The sequence below is a fragment of the Homo sapiens genome, chromosome 18 (genome assembly GCF_000001405.40).
Source record: "Homo sapiens chromosome 18, GRCh38.p14 Primary Assembly".
NCBI lineage: Eukaryota > Metazoa > Chordata > Mammalia > Primates > Hominidae > Homo > Homo sapiens.
In genome coordinates, this window is record NC_000018.10 from 76619479 (window position 1) to 76641081 (window position 21603).

A 21603-nucleotide genomic window follows, 5' to 3' on the forward strand; every position below is an offset into this window, starting at 1 on the left:
TCCACGGTGTGAACCCGACTGAATCACAGGCCGCTTTTTTGTTCTCCCTCGGCCTTGGAGGGCCTGGGACGTTCCTGTTGCCCAACATCCTGGTGAGCTGAGAACATTCTGTAGATTAATTAGGTTCTCTCCTCTGGCTCAGCAGGTCTGTTCTAGCCATTTGACCAAAGGCTCTCTGATATTTTCTACCAGCCTTAGAACGACAGTCTGCAGATGTGTGCACATAAATGTCTGGGAGGAGCACACAGATACTGTGGGAGGAGTGGGTCCGGCGTAGCTATTGGGAGATCTCGCTCGTACACATGGCGCTACATAGAAAGAATGCCCTGAGGTGAAGGTGACAGCTCGGCAGTTTCTTAATACCCTGAACTTGAGCGTGGCCTGCGCTAGAGAAAATACACGGTGCTTCTTAAAAACAAAAGCCAGCAGCCTGCAAGAGGGCTGTGCCTGCGAGTTCCTGGGAGCAGGAGGGGGCTGTTCCTCCGCCCCTGGCTCCAGTTTCACCCAAGTCACTTCACAGCAGTTGGAAGGAGGTCACCAATTGTTGAGTGTAGGCGGGGGGCGGGGAGGGAGAGGAAGAGGGATGAAAAGGGAAGGCCCGGGTCAGCTGGGAGAGGAGCTCGCGGGCTTTCCGGCGGGCTGGCCTGAAGTGGAAGGGCCCAGGGCTGCCTGCCACCCTCAGATGCCACGCAGGTGTTGGGAGGGCACCCGTCTGTGGGCTCAGGGACGTGTTCCCACCGACAGGCACAGAACGGAAAGCACCTTGGGGGAGACGCCCTTCTCCCCATCTCAGGAGGGAGGCCGGGCCTGCAGACCTCCAGCCCTTCCCCAGCGCTCGCTGTGAGCTCCCCCCCCCCACCCGCCCCCCACGTGCTGGGGAGCAGGTCCGTTTCCCCACCAGTTTGCCTCTGGTCTTTGTGTTTGCTCTGAGGCCAGGCGCGCCCCCTGCTGCAGGCCTGGGCTCCTGTGTGGAGTTCTCCTTTCAGATGTTGCTAAAATGTCTTGAAAGGCTGCGGCCACACCAACAGACGTCGTCCGGCCTTCTTCACACGCAACGAAGCGCCCAGGTGGAAATGCATGTACCCGCGGCAGCTTCTCGGCAGCGGGCTTCCTGGGACGGAAGACACAGGCTCGCCCGAGGGAGACGGAAGCAGGGGATCTGCTAGAACTCAGCTCGCCTCCTCCTTTCTCAGCAGGGCAGAGAATCATGGGCTTGTGCTGACGAAAGCTCCAGAAAATGGACTCATTTAACCTTTCCAAAGATATTATCCAAGCTGCAAAATCTTGGCAATCTGAAGACCTTTTAAGTCGATATACCAAAGAGCTTTAGTCAGGATTGAATGCAAAATGCCAAAATTTCACTTTTAAAATCATCGTAACATCTAAATACAACCTAAGCACACTTGTAAACTGATGCCGAACAGGCACTTGGAGAGCCCTCCCTGCACCCCTTCCTCGCCCCCTCCTTTGTGCAAATGCTGTTTGCCCAGAACTTCAGCCACTGAAAATCCTGGGAACTTTCTCTTCCTGGCTGCCAACCTAGCAGTTTGGACTCACAGACGAGATTTTTAAATCACTGAGGGATTTAAGCCTCTCTGTGTCACAGAAAAGCGAACACCCTCCCAGTTGAAGGTGGCCCCAAAGATGCGGGCCTGGGACCCAGGACTTCTGCAGGAGAGTGGACGCCTGGGTGCCCCCCGCCTTGCCCTGCACATGGTAGGTGCTCAATAATTACACAATAAATATTCACACAAAGCAGTGATTCTGCCGAAGAGATCCACTGCAATGCACCTGGCTTCCTAGAAGCAATAAATGAAAAGCTTTTCTATTTTTTTAAGAAAAGAAAAGATTAATGAAGCCCTGACGTAGAGGCAGAGAGCTCAACAGAATCCAGTGACTCAAGGCGTGCGCAGAAGCAATTTGCTTCTGAAACTCTAAACACCGTTCTTTAGTACTTCCTGACACTCCTCAGCAGCAAGCAAATAAATATTTACATGTGGAAGGAGACTGTCCTTTGAAATGTAGGTTGTTCCATTCAGAAGAGAAATACGGCAAGGTGCCACTACTTTAGTGGCAACACGCGTTATTATTTATGTTTTCCAGTTTGAAAATCGTGCACTTTCTATCAGGACCCTTAAATGGTAAACACTGATTCCCACGTGAAGCGAATTAGTCCAGCAGCCACCCCCCCCTTGGTGGTTCAGGGACAACAGCATAAGCTTTGACAAATCACCCTTTGTTTTATGCTTTGATTACCTGGTGAGCTAAAAACAATGATAGTAAAAGCCTGGACCTGCCATGTATTCAGTCTGCATTTGTTACTCTCCCCTTTCTTCCATTTATGAGTTTGTTCCCAAAAGATTTTTTTAAAAAAATTCTGACTTGAGTAACTTTTCCTCTGATCTGATCTGTTGTCAAATTAGTGGGTGGCAGGAGAAAGCCAGTCACATGATATCATCGTTTCCTATTCAAACAGACGGCTTTTTTTTTTTCAGTAAAAATACTCGACTGCAAGACTATGAGTGTGCAGATAATTCTGCTGCTTACTCCGATTGGAGGTGTCTCCAGGGAGTTTCCAAGCACAGGAAGCATTCCTGCTCTGAGGTTTCGGAAGAACACTTTCAGCAGGATTTTGGGTCACTGAAATGAAAGTGAACTATGCTCTGTACAAATGTATCATGTTTAATTCAGGAGAAATTCATGCATTTCTTTGTTCTATAAATATTTACTGGCAGCTCGTTTTGTATAGGAGGCTGCCACCTCCCAAAAGCCCCCTGCTCCTCGAGTGGGTTGAGCCTGAAACCCCACATCCACAGACGTGCCCAGCGGCCTTGGGTGCTCAACACAGGCTCGTTCAGGTACGACCAGATAACGGGGCATACCTGGTCCCAGAGTTCAAGGGCTTGTCTTATTTTATTTTAAACATCAGACTCTAACTGCTTGTTTAATCTAAATGTTAGCAATCAACCTACAGCCACCTGAAATATGTGAGTGGTGTTTAACAGATGATAAAGATCATATATTACTTGCATGGAAAGAATGTAGAAATATAGGTGTCCCTTTTAGTCTTTAGTGTGTCCCCATAATCAATGTCCCCAGCTCATTAATGAAAAGGTCCCCTCCTCCTCCCCCATCGCTGCCCTCATTCCTATAATGTAAACAGCCACCAATGGCTCCTATTTCTTTGTTCAAACAAACAATAGCCTTATAACGAAGAAGAAAATTAGTATCAGGTGAAAGCCTCACTTCAGGGTGCTTATGGCTTTTTCTTTTTTCAGAATAACAGAGTACACCAGTCATCATAAGAAGAAAAATTCACATTTAAAGTTTGGAAAGCAACAGGACAAAGGTCTGTCTTCAGTGGTGCGTAGACATGCTCGTGATTGAATTGGAAATAGTTCTCTTTCCTTCTCTCTGACTTCCTAACTGAAAAGCTGCAGCGTGGGGAGAAAGGCTGCTCAGAAGCCTGGAGCCAGAACACGCACCCCGGCTTTTGCAGGGCCGGCTCACTTGGTTAGAATCAAAGGAAAAGCCTTGTTATTTGGGAAGCTGGGCGTCCTCACCAAATTAGGGGATTTAATTTGCAGATATCTAAGGAGTGCTTTGAAATGAAAGATGAACTAAAATCTGCTCTGAGGCCCGTGATTTTTCACCAGTGAAGGACTCTCTTGCTGCTGGACATACATGAAAAGCATCATCTGATCTGAAACGCAAGTCCCTGCAAGACAGAGGAGAGACTTTATAAACATTTTATACCATTCTATGAAATCAATTCGATTCAGGGCTAGAATTCAAGAAGTAATCCATGGGCAAGTATATCTGATGGTAAACCCAAACGATTATATTGTTAACCTCTTGTACTTTTTTTAATTTTTTATTATTTGATATTATTATCACAAAAGTCGCTGGAACAGGATCCATGAGCTGCTTCTTCACTGCTTAGTGTTTTCAGAAGCTGATGGATTATTAAGCTCCAATTGAATACTTGATTTCCAATGATTCCATTAATTTTTCTGGTTTGTGGTAGGATTTGATTTACTTATTTTGTACTTTAACACACCAATAAAAAATAGATACTAAGAAATAGTGAAATTTGTTGCTTCAAAATAACCCTTAAAATTTAGAGTTTAGTGAAATTAAGCAATTCAAATAGAGAAACGATTATCCTTCATTTCCTTAAGGCACAGAAATTGAGACTAGGTTCAAGAACCTTCATATTTTAAAAACTGGAAAATACTGGCTAAGTGAGGACTGGGCGGTCATCCTCCACACATGCTCTGTGTGCTTGGAGCGAAGAGGGGAACGCACTGAATGAGATGAACTGGAAGGAGGTGCAGCAGCGAAGGAAATCCTTCTGTTGGGAGAGTTCACGTGTTTAGGATAATCCTTCGAATAGGACGCAACAGTGATGTGAGGAGAAGCTTTGGAGCTGATTTAGATTGAGACAGTCTATCACAGGCTGTTTGGTTGCATCCCTTTGGGGCCAGTCTCATTTTAGGTCTAAATATGCAGGAATGGGGCTCTGGCTTCCAGAAGTTTCAGGCTGCAAAAGGCTGGGGCCACCATCTTTACAGATAATCCATTAGTTTGATTCTCTTGGGGGCCAGGAAGAAAACCAAGAACACTCAATGGACTATGGGACTCAAATAATCCACAGGAGGCGTTTGTAAAGGGGCAAAACTGTGTGTGCCCAGTAATTCTTGGAGCTCGCAATAGAGGTGGAGAAGCAGTGATGGGCCCCACAGCAGCAGGGGCTTGGGAATGACGGAAAAGAACAAAATGATGGAAGGACAGCTGGAAGAAACAGGGAAGCTTCCTTTTAACTGGATGCTGGGTCTCAGCCTTGAATAGTTCCTGGCCTTCGGAGGCCTTTTCTCAGGGAGCATGGCCTGGGGACTCCCTGCTTGCTCTGCTGAGCTTTCAGGGAAGGAGAAATGGGCAAGGCCAGAGGCGACCATCAGGTGCTCCGTAGGCACAGAGGCAGAACTCAAGGTTTAGCTTTACCTTAAGAGGGTGACTGCAAAGTGTGCTCCCTGGACCAGGGGCCTCGGCCTCACCTGGGAGCTTGCTAAAAATGCAAGTTGCTCTCACCCAGACTGAATCTAAAATTCTGGGTACAGCCCAGCAATCTCTGCTCACACTTTCTCCAGATGATTCTGGTGCAAGCTAACCTTTCAAAAGTCCTGGGTCCCATTCCCAGAGGCTGTGATTAAGTTGGTCTAGGGCTGTGGCCTAGACCTGGGGATTTTGGAAGCCCACAGGTGATTCTGTTGTGCAGCCATGGTTGGCAGGCTGTTCACGGTGCTGTTCAACAGGTCCTGCTGTGGGATGGAAAGGGTCTGTATCTGCACTGGCCAATGTGGGAGCCAGCCCTGTGGCTATTGAGCACTTGGCCCCTGGCTAGTGCAACTGAGGAGCTGAATTTTTCATTTCATTTACTTTTAATTAAGTTTAAATAGCTAAATGTGGCTATTGTCTGCCTTATTGGATAGCAGAGTTCTAGAACCACAGATAAATGTAATACTGTCCCTTTAGTTGATTTAAAAATCCAATGCCTCTGTAATCCTAGCACTTTGGGAGGCCAAGGTGGGCTGATCACGAGGTCAAGAGATCGAGACCATTCTTGCCAACATGGTGAAACCCCGTCTCTACTAAAAATACAAAAATTAGCCGGGCATGGTGGCAGGCACCTGTAATCCCAGCTACTCGGGAGGCTGAGGCAGGAGAATCACTTGAACCCACGAGGCGGAGCTTGCAGTGAGCCAAGATTGCACCACTGCACTCCAGCCTGGTGACAGACGGAGATTCTGTCTCAAAAAAAAATGCCTCACAGAGTTAAATATTTAAGTTGATAAGAAAAATGGTAGTCGAGTCTTTGAGGATTATTTTAAAATCCACTTTTGGTGATAAATAGATAAAAACAGTGTGGTAGGGCCCAGAAGTTCTTCCTGATTTCTACCTGTTGGAGCTGAATTCCTCAATTTTACTTGTAGGAGAACGGCTTCCTAAAGGGCACCTTACCCAGCCATTCCTGCATGCAAGTGTGTATGAGAACTGCAGGGGGCATTATATGAAAATCCAATTCCTGGGCTCTATCCCAGATGTTCCTATCCAATAGGTCTGGGTTGGGGCCCTGGAAACTGCATTTTTGGCAAACCCCTTACTGATTTGGATGCACAAGTTTCAAGGAACAGGCACTAAGGATCGCTGATGTAGAATCTGTTTGTCCATCCAGGAAAGCCAGAGTCACCACACTTGAGTAAATGGGTTTTGATGTAGGAAAGGTCTTTATAATTCTTTCATGAATTCACCAAACTTTAAAAACTGTACTATTTTTGGCTGGGCTTGGTGGCTCACGCCTGTAATCTCAGCACTTTGGGGGCCAAGGCGGGTGGATCATGAGGTCAGGAGATCGAGACCATCCTGGCTAACACGGTGAAAACCTGTCTCTACGAAAAATACAAAAAAAAAAAATTAGCCGGGCGTGGTGGCGGGTGCCTGTAGTCCCAGCTACTCAGGAGGCTGAGGCAGGAGAATGGCGTGAACCCGGGAGGCGGAGCTTGCAGTGAGCCGAGTTCGCACCACTGCACTCCAGCCTGGGTGACAGAGCGAGACTCTGCCTCAAAAAAAAAAAAAAAAGCGGTAGTATTTTCAAGACTGTGCTAAGCTGGAGGAGAAATCGGTGAACAGGGTTCAGTGCCTCCCTTTAACTAATAACATAAATACACTTCGTGTTGCTGTGTAGTTAATATTCGCAGCTGCTGAAGGTGCTGCAATTCACCGGGTGACTGCTGAAAACTCCAATCAGTGCCTGACTTATGTTCCTTTCCACACTGCACAGGAAGGGCCTTTTTGGGTAGTGTCTACAGCTGTTAACTGTTTGTGGGCTCAGCCTTCAGATGCTGTGTTACAGAAAGCCCTTACCGCAATCCTAAATGCTGCTTCTTTTATTAATGGTACTGTCATTTATTTAGGGCCTCCTGTATGTTAGGCAATCCACAAACATTGCACATAGCATGAATGTATTGTTCAAACTGAAATATTTTTGAAAGTAAATGGGGACAAATTAAAAATTCTTTCAGGACAGCAAAACTGTGGGACACACTGGGAGGTACTGTCACCTTAATTAGACATCATCATTACTGGGGGAATGAGAATTATGAGGTCACACAGCTAGGAAGGGGCCAAGGCCCCAGCATAGGTCTGTCTAATTCTATCCTGGGTTGAATTCTGTGCCCCAAAATTCATGTCTACCCAGAAACTCATAATTTGACCTTATTTGGAAATACGGTCTTTGAAGACATAATTAATTAAGATGAGGTCATATTGTCCACTGCCTGGCTAAGTATTGAAGGTGTGTCCCAACCTGCACAGGGTCCATTGGCAAAACCTGGGAGACTTACCGATTCCAAGTAGTTAAGGAAATCTCTAATTATTAGCTGATTTCTAAGCTAACTAAGGAGAGACTTCAGTGGCTATACATGACAAAGAATAGAGACTTTACAGAATTAGTTCAGAAAAGTCACTAAAGAAACAATTAGCTATACCTATAACAAACAACAACAAATCCTCAAGAGGGGAAAAATATTTCCAGAATTGTCACATTATATTATCTAAAATACCTAGTTTTAAATACAAAATTATGAGACATGCAAAGAAACAAGAAAATATTACTCATTCACAGGATAGGAACTGTCCCTGAGGAAGCTTAGACATTGGGCTTACTCAACAAAAACTTTGAATCAGCTATTTTAAATAGATTCAAAGAACTAAAGAAAACCATGTCTAAAGGTCTAAGGAAGGGATGATAATGCTGTTTCAAGAAACAGAGAATATTAAAAGTGACATATAAATTATAAAGAAGAATCAAATAGAAATTCTGGAGTTAAAAAGTACAGTAATGGAAATACAAAATTTGCCAAAAGAAAGTCTTAACAGCATACTTGAGCAACAAAAGAAGCAAATTTGAAGGTATGTCTATAGAGATTACATAGCCAGAAGAAAAGAAATTAAAAGAATAAAGAAAAGACAAGGAGCCTCAGAGACCTGTGTGACAACTTTAAGCATAAAAATATATGCATAATGGGAATCCAAGAAGGAGTAAAGAGAAAGAGGCTGAATGAATATTGGAATAAATAATGACCAAAATCTTCCCAAACCGGTTGAAAGACATAAATCTGTACATCCAAGAAGTTTGATAAACTCCAAGTAGAATAAACTCAAACAGATCCACATCAAGACACATCATAATGAAACTTTCAAAAGATAAAGACAAAGAGAGAATCTTGAAAGCAGCAAGAGAGAAGCAACTCCTCATGTATAAGCAATTCTCAATAAAATTTATAGCTCATTTCTCATCAGAAGGAAATCCTTCAGGGTAAGATGAAGGTATCCTAGAAAATAAATTGAATCCACACAAAGAATAAAAGAACACTGATAAAAGTATCTACAAAAGTAAACATATAAGACAGTTATTAATGTAATTTTTGTTTGTAACTTCTCTCTTTTTTTTCTTTATTTTGTATTTCAATAGGTTTTTGGGGAACAAGTGGTGTTCGGTTACATGAATAAGTTCATTAGTGGTGATTTCTGAGATTTTGAAGCATCCATCACCGAAGCAGCATACACTGTACCCAATGTGTAGTGTTTTATCCATCATCCCCTCCCACCCTTTCCCCTGAGTCCCCAAAGTCCATTGTATTATTATTATTTGTACTTTAAGTTCTGGGATACATGTGCAGAATGTGCAGGTTTTTTACATAGGTATACATGTGCCACAGTGGTTTGCTGCACCCACCAACCTATCATCTAGGTTTTAAGCCCCACATGCATTAGGTATTTCTCCTAATGTTGTCCCTCTCCTAGGCCCCCCATCCCCTGACAGGCCGCAGTGTGTGATGTTCCCCCCCTGTGTCCATGTGTTCTCACTGTTCAGCTCCCACTTATGAGTGAGAACATACGGTGTTTGGTTTTCTGTTCCTGTGTTAGTTTGCTGAGAATGATGGTTTCCACCTTCATCCATGTCCCTGCAAAGGACATGAACTCATTCTTTTTTATGGCTGCATAGTATTCCATAGTGTATATGTGCCATTGTATTATTCTTATGCTTTTACATCCTCATAGTTTAGCTCCCACTTATGAGTGAGAACATACCATGTTTGGTTTTCCATTTCTGAGTCACTTCACTTAGAATAAGGGTCTCCAATTCTATCCAAGTTGTTGTGAATGCCATTATTTCATTCCTTTTTATGGCTGAGTAGTATTCCATGGTGTGTGTGTGTGTGTGTGTGTGTGTGTGTGTGTGTATCACATTTTCTTTATTCATTTGTTGATGGATGGACATGTGGGCTGGTTCCATATTTTTGCAATTGCAAATTGTGCTGCTATAAACATGGCATGTGTAAGTTTCTTATAAGGACTTTTTCCCTTTGGGTAGATACCTAGTACTGGGATTGCTGGATCAAACAGTGGGTCTACTTTTAGCTCTTTAAGGAATCACCACACTGTTTTCCATAATGGTTGTACTAGTTTATATTCCCACCAACGGTGTAAAAGTGTTCCCTTTCTACCACATCCATGTCAACATCTATTATTTTTTGAATTTTGAGTATAGCCATTCTTGCAGGAGTGGGGTGGTACCACATTGTGGTTTTGATTTGCATTTCCCTGATAATTAGTGATGTTAAGCATTTTTCCATATGCTTATTGGCCATTTGTATATCTTTGAGAATCTCACTTTTTGATGGGATTGTTTTTTTCTTGCTGATTTGTTTGAGCTCTTTGTAGCTTCTGGATATTAGTCCTTTGTGAGATATATAGATTGTGAAGATTTTCTCCCATTCTGTGGGTTGCCTGTTAACTGTGCTGATTATTTGTTTTGCTGTTGCAGAAGCTTTTTAGTTTAATTAAGTCCCATCTATTTATCTTTGCTTTTGTTGCATTTGCATTTGGGTTCTTGGTCATGAAGTCTTTGCCTAAGTCAAGGTCTAGAAGGGTTTTTCCAATGTTATCTTCTAGAATTTTTATGATTTCAGGTCTTAGATTTAAGTCTTTGATCTATCTTGAGTTGATTTTTGTACAAGGTGAGAGATGAGGATCCAGTTTCATTCTTCTACATATGGCTTGCCATGTACTTCAGCACCATTTTTTGAATAGGGTGTCCTTGCCCAGCTTTATGTTTTTGTTTGCTTTTTCAAAGATCAGTTGGCTCTAAGTATTTGGCTTTATTTCTGGGGTTTCCTATTCTATTCCATTGCTCTATATGCCTATTTTTATACCAGTACCATGCTGTTTTGGTGACTATGGCCTTATAGTATAGTTTGAAGTCGGATATGTGATGCCTCCAGATTTGTTCTTTTTGCTTAGTTTTGCTTTGGCTTTGCGGGCTCTGTTTTGGTTCCATATAAATTTTAGGATTTTTTTTCTAGTTCTGTGAAGAATGATGGTGGTATCTTGATGGGAATTGCACTGAATTTGTAGATTGCTTTTGGCAGTATGGTCATTTTCACAATATTGATTCTACCCATCCGTGAGCATGGAATGTGTTTCCATTTGTTTGTGCCATCTATTATTTCTTTCAGCAGTGTTTTGTAGTTTTCCTTGTAGAGGTCTTTCACTTCCTTGGTTAGCTATATTCCTAAGTATATTATTATTATTATTATTATTATTATTATTATTTTGCAGCTATTGTAAAAGGGGGTGAGTTCTTGATTTGATTCTCAGCTTGGTCACTGCTGGTGTACAGCAGAGCTACTGATTTGCGTATATTAATTTTGTTTTTGTTTGTTTGTTTTTGTTTTTGTTTGAGATGGAGTCTCACTGTTGCCCAGGATGGAGTGCAGTAGCACAATCTTGGCTCACTGCAGCCTCTGCCACGCAGGTTCCAGTAATTCTCCTGTCTCAGCCTCCCAGGTAGCTGGGATTACAGGCATGCACCACCACGCCTGGCTAATTTTTGTATTTTTAGTAGAGATGGGGTTTCACCATATTAGCCAGGCTGGTCTTGAACTCCTGACCTAAGGTGATCCTCCCGCCTCGGCCTCGCAAAGTGCTAGGATTATAGGCATGACCCACCGTGCCTGGTCTGATATGTATATATTAATTTTGTATCCTGAATCTTTGCTGAATTAATTTACCAGTTCTAGGAACTTTTTGGATGAGTATTTAGGGTTTTCTAGGTATACAATTATATCATTATCAGTGACAGTTTGATTTCCTCTTTACCAATTTGGATGCCCTTGATTTCTTTCTCTTGTCTGATTGCCCTGGCTAGGGCTTCCGTTACTATGTTGAATAGAAGTGGTGAAAGTGGGCATCCTTGTCTTGTTCCAGTTCTCAGAGGGAACGCTTTCAACTTTTCCCCGTTCAATATAATGTTGGCTGTGGGTTTGTCATAAATGGCTTTTATTACCTTAAGGTATGTCCCTTCTACGCCAGTTTTGCTGAGGGTTTTAATTATAAAGCGATGCTGGATTTTGTCAAATGGTTTTTCTGCATCTATTGAGGTGATCATGTGATTTTTAATAACTTCGCTTTTTTTTCTATCTGATTTAAAAGGCAACTGTATAAAACAAAATTTATAAATCTATTTTTGATGGGCACTTAAGGTATAAAGATATTTTGTGACAATAGCAGCATGGAGAGCAGAGCTATAAAGAAACAAAGTTTTTATATTTAGTTGAAATCAAGTTGGTATGAATCCAAACTAGATTTTCAGAAATCAAGATGCTAATTTTAATCCCCAGGGCGACTACTTAGAAAATAACTCACAAATATAAGTAAAAGAAACAAACAGGCCAGGCGCAATGGCTCACGCCTGTAATCCCAGCAATTTGGGAGGCCGAGGCGGGTGGATCACCTGAGGTCAGGAGTTCAAGACCAGCCTGACCAACATGGAGAAACCCCATCTCTACTAAAAATACAAAATTATCCAGGCATGATGGTGCATGCCTGTAATCTGAGCTACTCAGGAGGCTGAGACAGGAGAATTGCTTGAACCCGGGAGGCAGAGGTTGCAATGAGCCGAGATCACGCCATTGCACTTTAGCCTGGGCAACAAGAGCGAAACTCTGTCTCAAAAAAAAAAAAGAAAAAAAAAATTAGCCGGGCGTGGTGGCACGTGCCTGTAGTCCCAGCTACTCAGGAGGCTGAGGCAGGAGAATCATTTGAACCCGGGAGGTGGAGGTTGCAGTGAGCCCAGATCATGCCACTGCACTGCAGCCTGGGTGACAGAGCGAGACTCCGTCTCAAAAAAAAAAAAAAAAAAAAAACAAGGAAACATCCTTCATTATCAGTAATTATATTAAATGCAAATGAATTAAATTCTACAATAATTCTACAATGAAAAGGCAGAGATTTGCCGCATGGATTTAAAAAACTACTTGATCCAAGTATATGCTCTTCACAAAAGACACTTTCTTTTTTTTCTTTTAAGTTCTGGGGTACATGTGCAGGATGTGCAGGTTTGTTACCGTAGGTAAATGTGTGCCATGGTGACTTGCTGCACCTATCAATCCATCACTTAGGTATTAAGCCCAGCATGCATTAGCTATTTTTCTTGATGCTCTCCCTCCTCCCCACAGCTCCGGACAGGCCTTAGTGTGTGTTGTTCCCCTCCCTGTGTCTATGTGTTCATGTTGTTCAGCTCCTGCTTATAAGTAAGAACATGCCATGTTTGGTTTTCTGTTCCTGCATTAGTTTGCTGAGGATAATGCCTTCCAGCTCCATCCATGTCCCTGCAAAGGACATTATCTCATTCCTTTTTACGGCTGCATAGTATTCCATGGTGTATATGTACCATGTTTTCTTTATCCAGTCTATCATTAATGGACATTTGGATTGATTCCATGTACAAAAGACACTTTCAATTCAAAGACATAAGTAGGTTGAAAGTCAAATAATGGAAAAAAATATTCCTTGCAAACAGTAACCAAAAGAGAGCTGGAGGGCTATACTAACACTAGGCAAAAAAGACTTTATGACAAGAATTGTTATAAGAGATAAAAGAGTCACTCCATTAAGAAGATATGACAATTAGGAACATATATGCACCTGCAAACAGAGCCTCCAAAATACGTAAAGTTATGAGATAATTGAAAAGAGAAAGAGTTCAACAATAATATTTATTTGAAGATTTCAATATACCCCTTTCAATAATGGATAGAACAACTAAACAGAAGATCATCAAGGAAACAGAAGACTTGAAAAAATTATAAACCTACTAGACCTAATAGACATTTATAGGACACTCCACTCAACAACAGCAGAATGCCCATTCTTCTCAATTATACATGGAGCATTCTCCAGGATAGACCATATGTTATGACATAAGTCTTTATAAATTCACGTCATACAAAGTATCTTCTCCAACCCAATGGAATAAAACTAGAAATTAATAATAGAAGAAAAACTGGAAAATTCACAATATGTGGAAATTAAACAACACACCTAAACAATCAATGGATCAAAGAAGAAATCACAAAGGAAATTAGAGAATATTTGGAGATGTATGAAAGCAAAAACACACAATACCAAAACCATGGGAAGCAGTATTTAGAGAAACATTTATAGTTGTAAAATTCTGCATTTGAAAAGAATAAATATCTCAAATCAATAACCTAGCTTTGTACGTTAAGGAACTAGAAAAAGAAGAGCAGGCAGGGCATGGTGGCTCACACCTGTAATCCCAGCACTTTAGGAGGCTGAGGCAGGCGGATCACAAGGAGGCAGAGGTTGCAGTGAGCCGAGATTGCGCCACTGCACTCCAGCCTAGGCAACAGAGCAAGACTCTGTCTCAAATAAATAAATAAATAAATAAAGGAAAAGAAGAGCAAACTGAAACCCAAAACAAGCAAAAGAAGTAAACAATAAAGATTAGACTAGTGATAACAAAGTAGACAATAGAAAAATGAGAAAAGAAGTGAAACCAAAAATTGGCTCTTTGAAAAAAAAAAAAATCAACAAAATTGACAGACCTTTAGCTAGTCTGACCAAGAAAACAGTGAGAAGATTCAAATAACTAAAATTAGGAATGGAAGCAGGGACATTGCTACCAACTTCACAGGAAAAAAATGAATAAGACTATAATAATTGTATGCTACTAGGATTTGGATGTGGTTTGTTCTTACCAAAACTTGTGTTGAAATTTCCTTCCCCATATGGCAGTGTTGAGGGGTGAAGTCTAGTGAAAATGTTTGAGTCTGGGGGTGGGTCCCTCATTGACAGATTAATGCCATCTTGTGGCAGTAAGTTCTCACTCTCATGGGACATTGTGAGTCCTGATTTCAGCAGCAGCTGTTCCAGATGTACTGTCCTTATTAACATGCAGCCATTATTCTGCATGTTTCTGTGTGGATATTTTTAGATAAGATTAGCATTTAAATTGGTGGACTTTCAGTAAAGCAAATTGCCTTCTGTAATGTGGGTGGGCCTCATCTAATCAGTCGAAGGACTGAATAAATCAGCCTAACCTCTCCAGAGCAAAAAGGAATTCTGTGGCAGACAGTCTTCAGACTTGAACTGCAGTCTTGGCTCTTCCTTAGATCTCCAGCCTGCCAGTCAACCCTGCAGATTTTGGAGTAGCCAACTTCCACAACTGCATGAACCAATTCCTTAAAATAAGTCTCTTTATGTGTGCACTACATATACACATCCTGTTGTTCCTCTTTCTCTGGAGAACTCTGACTAACACCATCTTCTACAGACAGGACCAACAAGCTGTCAGGTTTATGAAGAATTAATATTTGGGAAGCCCTCGTGTATAAAGACTTCAGACCATTTGAGGTGTTGGCTGAAAGCAAAATAAACCTGATAATAAAAAGAAGTCTTAAATATCAGCTTTGGCCTCATGAACAGCTGCAGAAATCCAGACTGTATCCTCTCCTTCCTGCTGTGTCATGTATATATTTATGAGTTAATTAATTTTTGTTTGATTCCTCTCTCTTCTCTCTCACTATTATATATACGGTTTGTTTACAGTTAACTGTAATTTAGTTCATAGGTTTCAGAATAACGCAACTACGGTGCAAGTGGAACTTGAGAATGAATGAACATTCAGGATTGAGGATGGATGCGGTCAGTAACTGTTGTCACCCATTGGTGAGGGAGTGAGCACATTTTTTGTTTGAAATAAGGAGAATGGCATTGTCTCAAACAGAACAAGTTTGTTACTGTTGTTATGGGTGGAAATGAATGTCAGGAAAGAATATTATGTATGTAAATCTAGAGAGTCAGACGAATAGATTTCAAAGGGTGTTTGTCATTCCTTTGTATTCTGGCAGACTCCCCAAGGTGTGTATCAGTGGATGCAGTGCTGGGTCTTCCCCTAACAAAGCTGAAATGCAAGTAAATCCTCCCTCTCCCTGCTCCTTGGTGGTCTGAACTCAGGATCTGGACCTGTCCTTACCCTACGGGATGCTCCCACGTGGATCTTTGACTCTTCCACAGCAAAGTCCTGTGTGCTTTCTGTGGCTCATCCAGTGTTCTACCTCCTAAGACACAACAAAAAGAAGTTTGGTGTTGGCCCATTGCACTGGGAGCAAAGAAGGAGGTTAAAATGTTTTTCTAGGATGTTCTCTATAAAAACCTTCCTGATGCAAAGCACCTCTTTTTAGAGATTTGGGATAGGCTATTTAACCCCTAGCATCCTGGATTCTTCCATGGACAAAGACTGTGTCCTGTGGTTCTGTTGCTGTGGGTACCTACTCCAGGCCTTACCCCCTGGATGGTAAAAAGCTGTCAGGTGTTAATAGAAGGATTAGCACATAATAAAGTGCCCCCCACCCAAGTAATATTGGAAGAATTTAAAGAGGATGGTAATAATAAGAGCACCTTGGAAGAAAAAATCAAACAAGCATCTGCCATTGCATTCTATGCTGAAATTAGGTCAAATTTTGTTTTTAACACAAACCTTTATGCTTGTTTAGGAATAAAAGACACAGTGCCAATAGGCACTAACCTACTTTAGGAATTTTACCTGCTCACCAGAATGTCTAAAACATATTGTCCCACAAGTAAAGATTTTGCCCTATTGTTTCAAACACCATTCATTCCCATGGTACAAAACAGTGCAAAGTATAGGACATGTTTGGTGGAGATAAAGAATCCTTGAATGAGTTTAGATGGTGGTGGTGATGATGATAATGATGATGGATGTATTAAAAAGTCTAGCCGGGTGCGGTGGATCACACCTGTAATCCCAGCACTTTGGGAGGCCAAAGCGGGCAGATCACCTGAGGTCATCAGTTCCAGACCAGCCTGGCCAACATGGCAAAACCCCCTCTCTACTAAAAATACAAAAATTAGCCGGGTGTGGTGGCAGGTGCCTGTAATCCCAGCTACTTGGGAGGCTGAGGCAGGATAATTGCTTTTTTTTCTTTGAAACAGGGTCTTGCTCTGTTGCCCAGGCTGGAGTGCAGTGGTGCAAACACAGCTCACTGCAGTCTCAACCTCCTGGGCTCCAGCAATCCTCCCACCTCAGCCTCCCAAGTAGCTGGAATTATAGGTGCACACCACCACACCTGGCAATTTTTTTTTCATTTTTTGTATAGATGAGGTCTTGCCATGTTACCCTGGCTAAGGTTCTTATATAGTAAGTGGCTTAGATTGTAGATTTAGAACCAAAACATCGATCTCTTGCCCCTCCAGTCAGTGCTTCTTGTACTGGAATGGATCTCTAGACTTGGTGTATGCACTCTCAATAGTGTGTATCGAAGGAGAGGAGAGGGCAGAGCAGGGGTAGTAGGGTGGGCTGGCCATTTTCTTGTGAGTTGAGAGGCTTAGACTCTGTTGGCACTAAGTGTCTTCTGATTTTAAAGAAGTCTCCTTACCTCCCGCTGCCTCAGTTCCTTTCTGTAAACCAGAGGAGAAGGGAAATTGTAGGATACTCTCCTAATATGATCTCGTGTTCTAGGAAAGTCGTATGAAGGCGGAAGTGAAAGTAGATAATCTATTTTATTTCGTATGATTTTACCAACACATCTGTTGAAATTTTTTTTAAAACGTCATCATTCTGGTTCACATTTGCTTTTTTAAGACACATATTTGAGAATTCAGCCACTGGGCTTATTTATACTCATTATTATTCTAGGATAATCTTTGGGGTTTGAAATCACTTATAATCCCATAACACAAAACTGTGACGAACGTGTCCTCTGACCTACATGAATTATTTTCTGTGAAAATGAAAGTCGTGGACAGCCCTAATTAAATCCCTGCTGAGCAGATGCCAGTGCTTAGGACAGCTCTCCACGTGATCCATAGAAACAAATCAAGGTTTGCAGTTGGAGAACCACCAAAAGCAAGCCAGTGACTGTTCCTATGGCTTGTAAACACAAAAGAAAATATTAAAAAGTACACATGAGATACAAAGAATACTATTACAAGCAGGCCCAAGTCAGCCACTCAGCTTAGGCCTTAGAGCTGTGTCAGTATCGCTGAAGACTCTAAGGACTGGGCCTTCCCGACGCCATTCCTTCTCCTTCCTCCCAGAGCCACCATCGTCTAATGTTGTGTTCATAATTGACTTAATTTCCTTTCTCATTTTCCTATATAACCATGTATCCTTAAAGTATATGTTGCTAAATCTTGCATATATTTGAAGTTTCCATTTAAGATAAGTGGCATTATATTGTAGATAACCCAGTCTTTGGTTCAAGTTTATGTTTGGGAAGTCATCCACGGGTGTTGACATTTTCAGCTGAATGTCATTCATTTTCACTATTCTATAGAATTCCATTGCATGAATATCCCAAGATGTATTTACTCATAGGGGGATTTTTTTCTTTTAATTACACAATTATATTATCTTAGTATTATACATACATAACAATTATCATACCCTATTACCCAAAAGTTGTAAACATTCTGTGAATATAGGCTCCAATACATAGACGATTGAGCTGTGAACTCATTAATTTTCTACATAGTTTCTTTGGAAACCAAAGATTTGAAAGCCAGAGTTATTGCTGATCTCCTCTTTCTGCTTCATTAGGCCTGCCTTTCCCGGTAACCTGTTCCTCAAATAATATTTCTCCCAACTGTGACACCAACTAGATGTCAAAACCTCAGTGATATCCGTTGATGTCAAAACATCAATTTATGTCAAATATAATTTAACCTAAAGCCGTTTCCTTTATTAGAATGATAATGTCATTTATCATATGTCTTTTCTTTCACTTTCCCTGATTTTAGTTATTAAAACAACACCCCACTTCAATGTGCTCATTTGTAAAATAGCAATGCCATTACTAACTTGTGTCTGTTACAGAGAGTATCCTACAAAGATGGTCTCAAAGTACTTTGAGATGAACAGAATGTTCTATAAATGGGTATTGAAAATAATCAAGACATTCATGGATCCAAACAGGCCACAGAAATACCATAGCAACAAATGAACAATAATTGCTGCATTATGGGCTCTTTCCCCAGCTGCACTCATGCAATCAAAGCTCTGCTGCGTCTTCAGAGGAGCCCAGGTCAGATCTGGCTGCCATCACCCATGAGGAAGACGTGCGGAGCCAGACAGGTGCCTGGAGGAAAGGTGGGTGTGTGCTGTCCTGCCCCATCCTCTCTGTTTCCCTCCCACGTGTTTGCAGAGACGTCCTCAGCATGGAACCAGGGCCCTTGACAGAGACATTGTCATTCTGGACACCCCACACCCAAGCCAGTTCATCCAAGTCACCCGATAAAATTGTGCTCTGAAGAAACTGCCTGTTTCAGCAAACTCCTTACCTTACTGGACGCATAGCGATGGCCAGCACAGGATGAGGCCATGGGAGGATCTTAATGACACAGTCCACTCTGCAAACCAAGGTCAACAAGGCAGCAGGTATGGCCACGGCCCCTCACCGTGGACTCTGTACGAGCCAATACACTGTGTTCTATTCCCCAGTTATTTCTGAATACGGCCACAGGGAGATGTGAGCCAGCCCTCCTTCTCTAGGGCACACAGAGGCTAGAAAAGATCCACAGGACCTGTTCAACTTGCCAGTGATCCCAAACTCCTGACCCAGGCAGATCACTAAGAGAGAGAGAGAAATATTCCCTTTTCTAGGAAGGTCCTCTGGCCTCACCCAGCTCCATGATGTGTCCACTAGCTCGAGACACCCCAGTTATTGGGGGCATCTTCTCCAACAGTAGGGAGGACTGCGGCGAGGGCAGCTGTGGAGATGGTAGAATCTTTCCTGTGGGATTCTGGAATGTTGTGTCCCCTCTGGAAGAGACACAAGGAGTGAGGGCGAGACTGGAAAGGGTGTGGAAGGGAGAACCTTCCTTATTGCCTAGCGTCCCTCAGGGGCCAGTGACCAACCTTATTAGCCACCTCTGTGCATTCAACCACTTCCTCTCTCCTGAGGCAGCCCGAGCCTGAATATCTCAGCAAGGCATTAAGAAAGGCTTTAATAATTGATTTAATTAAAGTCTAAAAATTATAGAACCAGCTCCTATGCGTTGAGTGATTTCAGAGCTCTCTTTTTCTTTGCCGTCTTCGAAGGGTAATCTGGATGCTGGAGGGTTGCTTTCTGGCTTGACAAACTCAGTTTGTTTCCATAGTTACAAAACACTTGTGCTCTTCCCGACCCACAATCCATCAGGAGGGGTACGCTGGCTGCCTGGTAACCACGAGATCATTTCCTGAATTCGCAGACCTCTTTAACATTATCCAAACATTAGAAAGGTGGTTGACCACACCTGTTTTGTGCACTGCCTGACAATCTCATTTTGATTTAAGTATTTTGTAGGAAGCAAAGTAAAGACTATTTGCACTATAAATTACAAATATTTATGTCTAATCCCCCAATAAATGGGAATTTCAAGGGAAAAGGCGGGAACTCGAAAGAGTGAGCGCAGTTGCTGCAGTGGCCCAAGGAGTTTGCTCTTGCCCAGGCTGACTCCATGAGTCCAGCTCCCTCCTTGGAGAAAGGAAGCTGTCGGGGGAGCTGAATGCCACGGTAGTCAAGGGCCAGGCAGCAGATCTGAGAGATCTGGACGTAAATCTTTTTCTTTTTCTTAGACGAAGTCTCACTCTTGTCACCCAGGCTGGAGTGCAGTGGCGCGATCTCGGCTCACTGCAGCCTCTGCCTCCTGGGTTCAAGCTATTTTCCTGCCTCAGTCTCCTGAGTAGCTGGGATTACAGGCGTATGTGCCACCATGCCCGGCTAATTTCTGTACTTTTCGTAGAGACGGAGTTTTGCCATGTTGGCCAGGCTGGTCTGGAATTCCTGACCTCAGATGATCTGCTCACCTGGGCCTCCCAAAGTGCTGGGATTACAGGCGTGAGCCACGGCGCCCGGCCACGTAAATCTTTTTCTTACTAGATGTGGATAATTTATTCTCTCTTAACTGTATTAATAGTTCCCTTATCTGTGAAAGAGGTAACTCATGGCTTTGTTGAGAGGATTAAATAAGTGAAGGATTTAATACAAGTATATATTTTGCACTCAGGAAGTGATCATTGCTATTTTGCCCTATTGTTTCAAAACACCATCCATTCCCATGATACAAAACAGTGCGAAGTATAGGACATGTTCAGTGGAGATAAAGAATCCTCGAATGAATTTAGATGGTGGTGATGATGATAATGATGATGGATGTATTAAAGAGTCTAGCCAGGCGTGGTGGCTCACACCTGTAATCCCAGCACTTTGGGAGGCCGAGGTGGGTGGATCAACTGAGGTCAGGAGTTCCAGGCCAGCCTGGCCAACATGATGAAACTCCTCTGTACTAAAAATACAAAAATTAGCTGGGTGTGTTGGCGGGCACCTGTAATCCCAGCTACTTGGGAGGCTGAGGCAGGAGAATTGCTTGAATCTGGGAGGTGGAGGTTACAGTGAGCCGAGATTGCGCCACTGCACTCCAGCCTGGGCAACAGAGTGATAGTCTGTCTAAAATTAAATTAAATTAAATTAAAATTAAAAATCTAGAGCCTTTCATGTAAATGTGGTTGCATTTGCTCCACTTCATGCAAGAGGCTGTTTAGCATGTGATTACAAGTGGCCCTCAAGCCAGAGTGTATGAGTTCAAATCTTGTCATTATCTCACACTAGATGTGTAATCTTAGGTAACCTCCTCAAAGTTTATTATACTTGCGTAGGTTTCCTTATCAGTAAAATAGAAATAATAATATAAATCTTACTGCACTGGTAAGAGGATTAAGTGCACTCAGATTTCTAAAGGGCTTAGACCAGTGGAATGAGTTGGACACCCTGTGATACACACAAACCTCTCAGTCTGCTCTGTGAGCTGTTTCTCTCCTGCCACCTTGGATGAAATCTTCTGCTGGTCCTCATAATTTTCACAATCACTCCTGAATGGTACAAAGTCCTCTGGTCACTTCTTGAAGTAGTAATGACCTTATTTCAGAGATTAACATGCCTAGTCCCACATGAGAAAGTACTAAACTTCATCGCATGTTTCTCTTCCCCCAGTTTACGCTGGCCTAAGGGTATATTTGAATTTGTAGCTTTTGCTAAGAAGGTTGATGGAGGGGCAAGAGTCATGGAATTGATTTTTTACCACTTCCTTTAAAAGTCCCTCATAGGCCCTGCACCTTGCGTGGAATGTGGTTGTAGCTGACACTCATTATCCTGAGGCCTGGGCTGAAACTGG

General features: G+C 42.5%; 2 long non-coding RNA genes across 2 annotated transcripts; one reads left to right on the top strand and one right to left on the bottom strand.

The window, feature by feature from the left end:
- Positions 1-298: 298 nt before the first annotated feature.
- LINC00683 (long intergenic non-protein coding RNA 683) lies at positions 299-4081 on the top strand. Its single transcript, NR_120419.1, has 2 exons — positions 299-1716; positions 3279-4081. It is a non-coding gene; the product is annotated as a long intergenic non-protein coding RNA 683 (long non-coding RNA).
- LINC01927 (long intergenic non-protein coding RNA 1927) lies at positions 3303-19533 on the bottom strand. The gene is made up of 5 exons (NR_110784.1): positions 19307-19533; positions 19071-19210; positions 18730-18798; positions 15404-15488; positions 3303-3718 (listed from the first exon to the last, which is right to left on the bottom strand). It is a non-coding gene; the product is annotated as a long intergenic non-protein coding RNA 1927 (long non-coding RNA).
- Positions 19534-21603: the final 2070 nt, after the last annotated feature.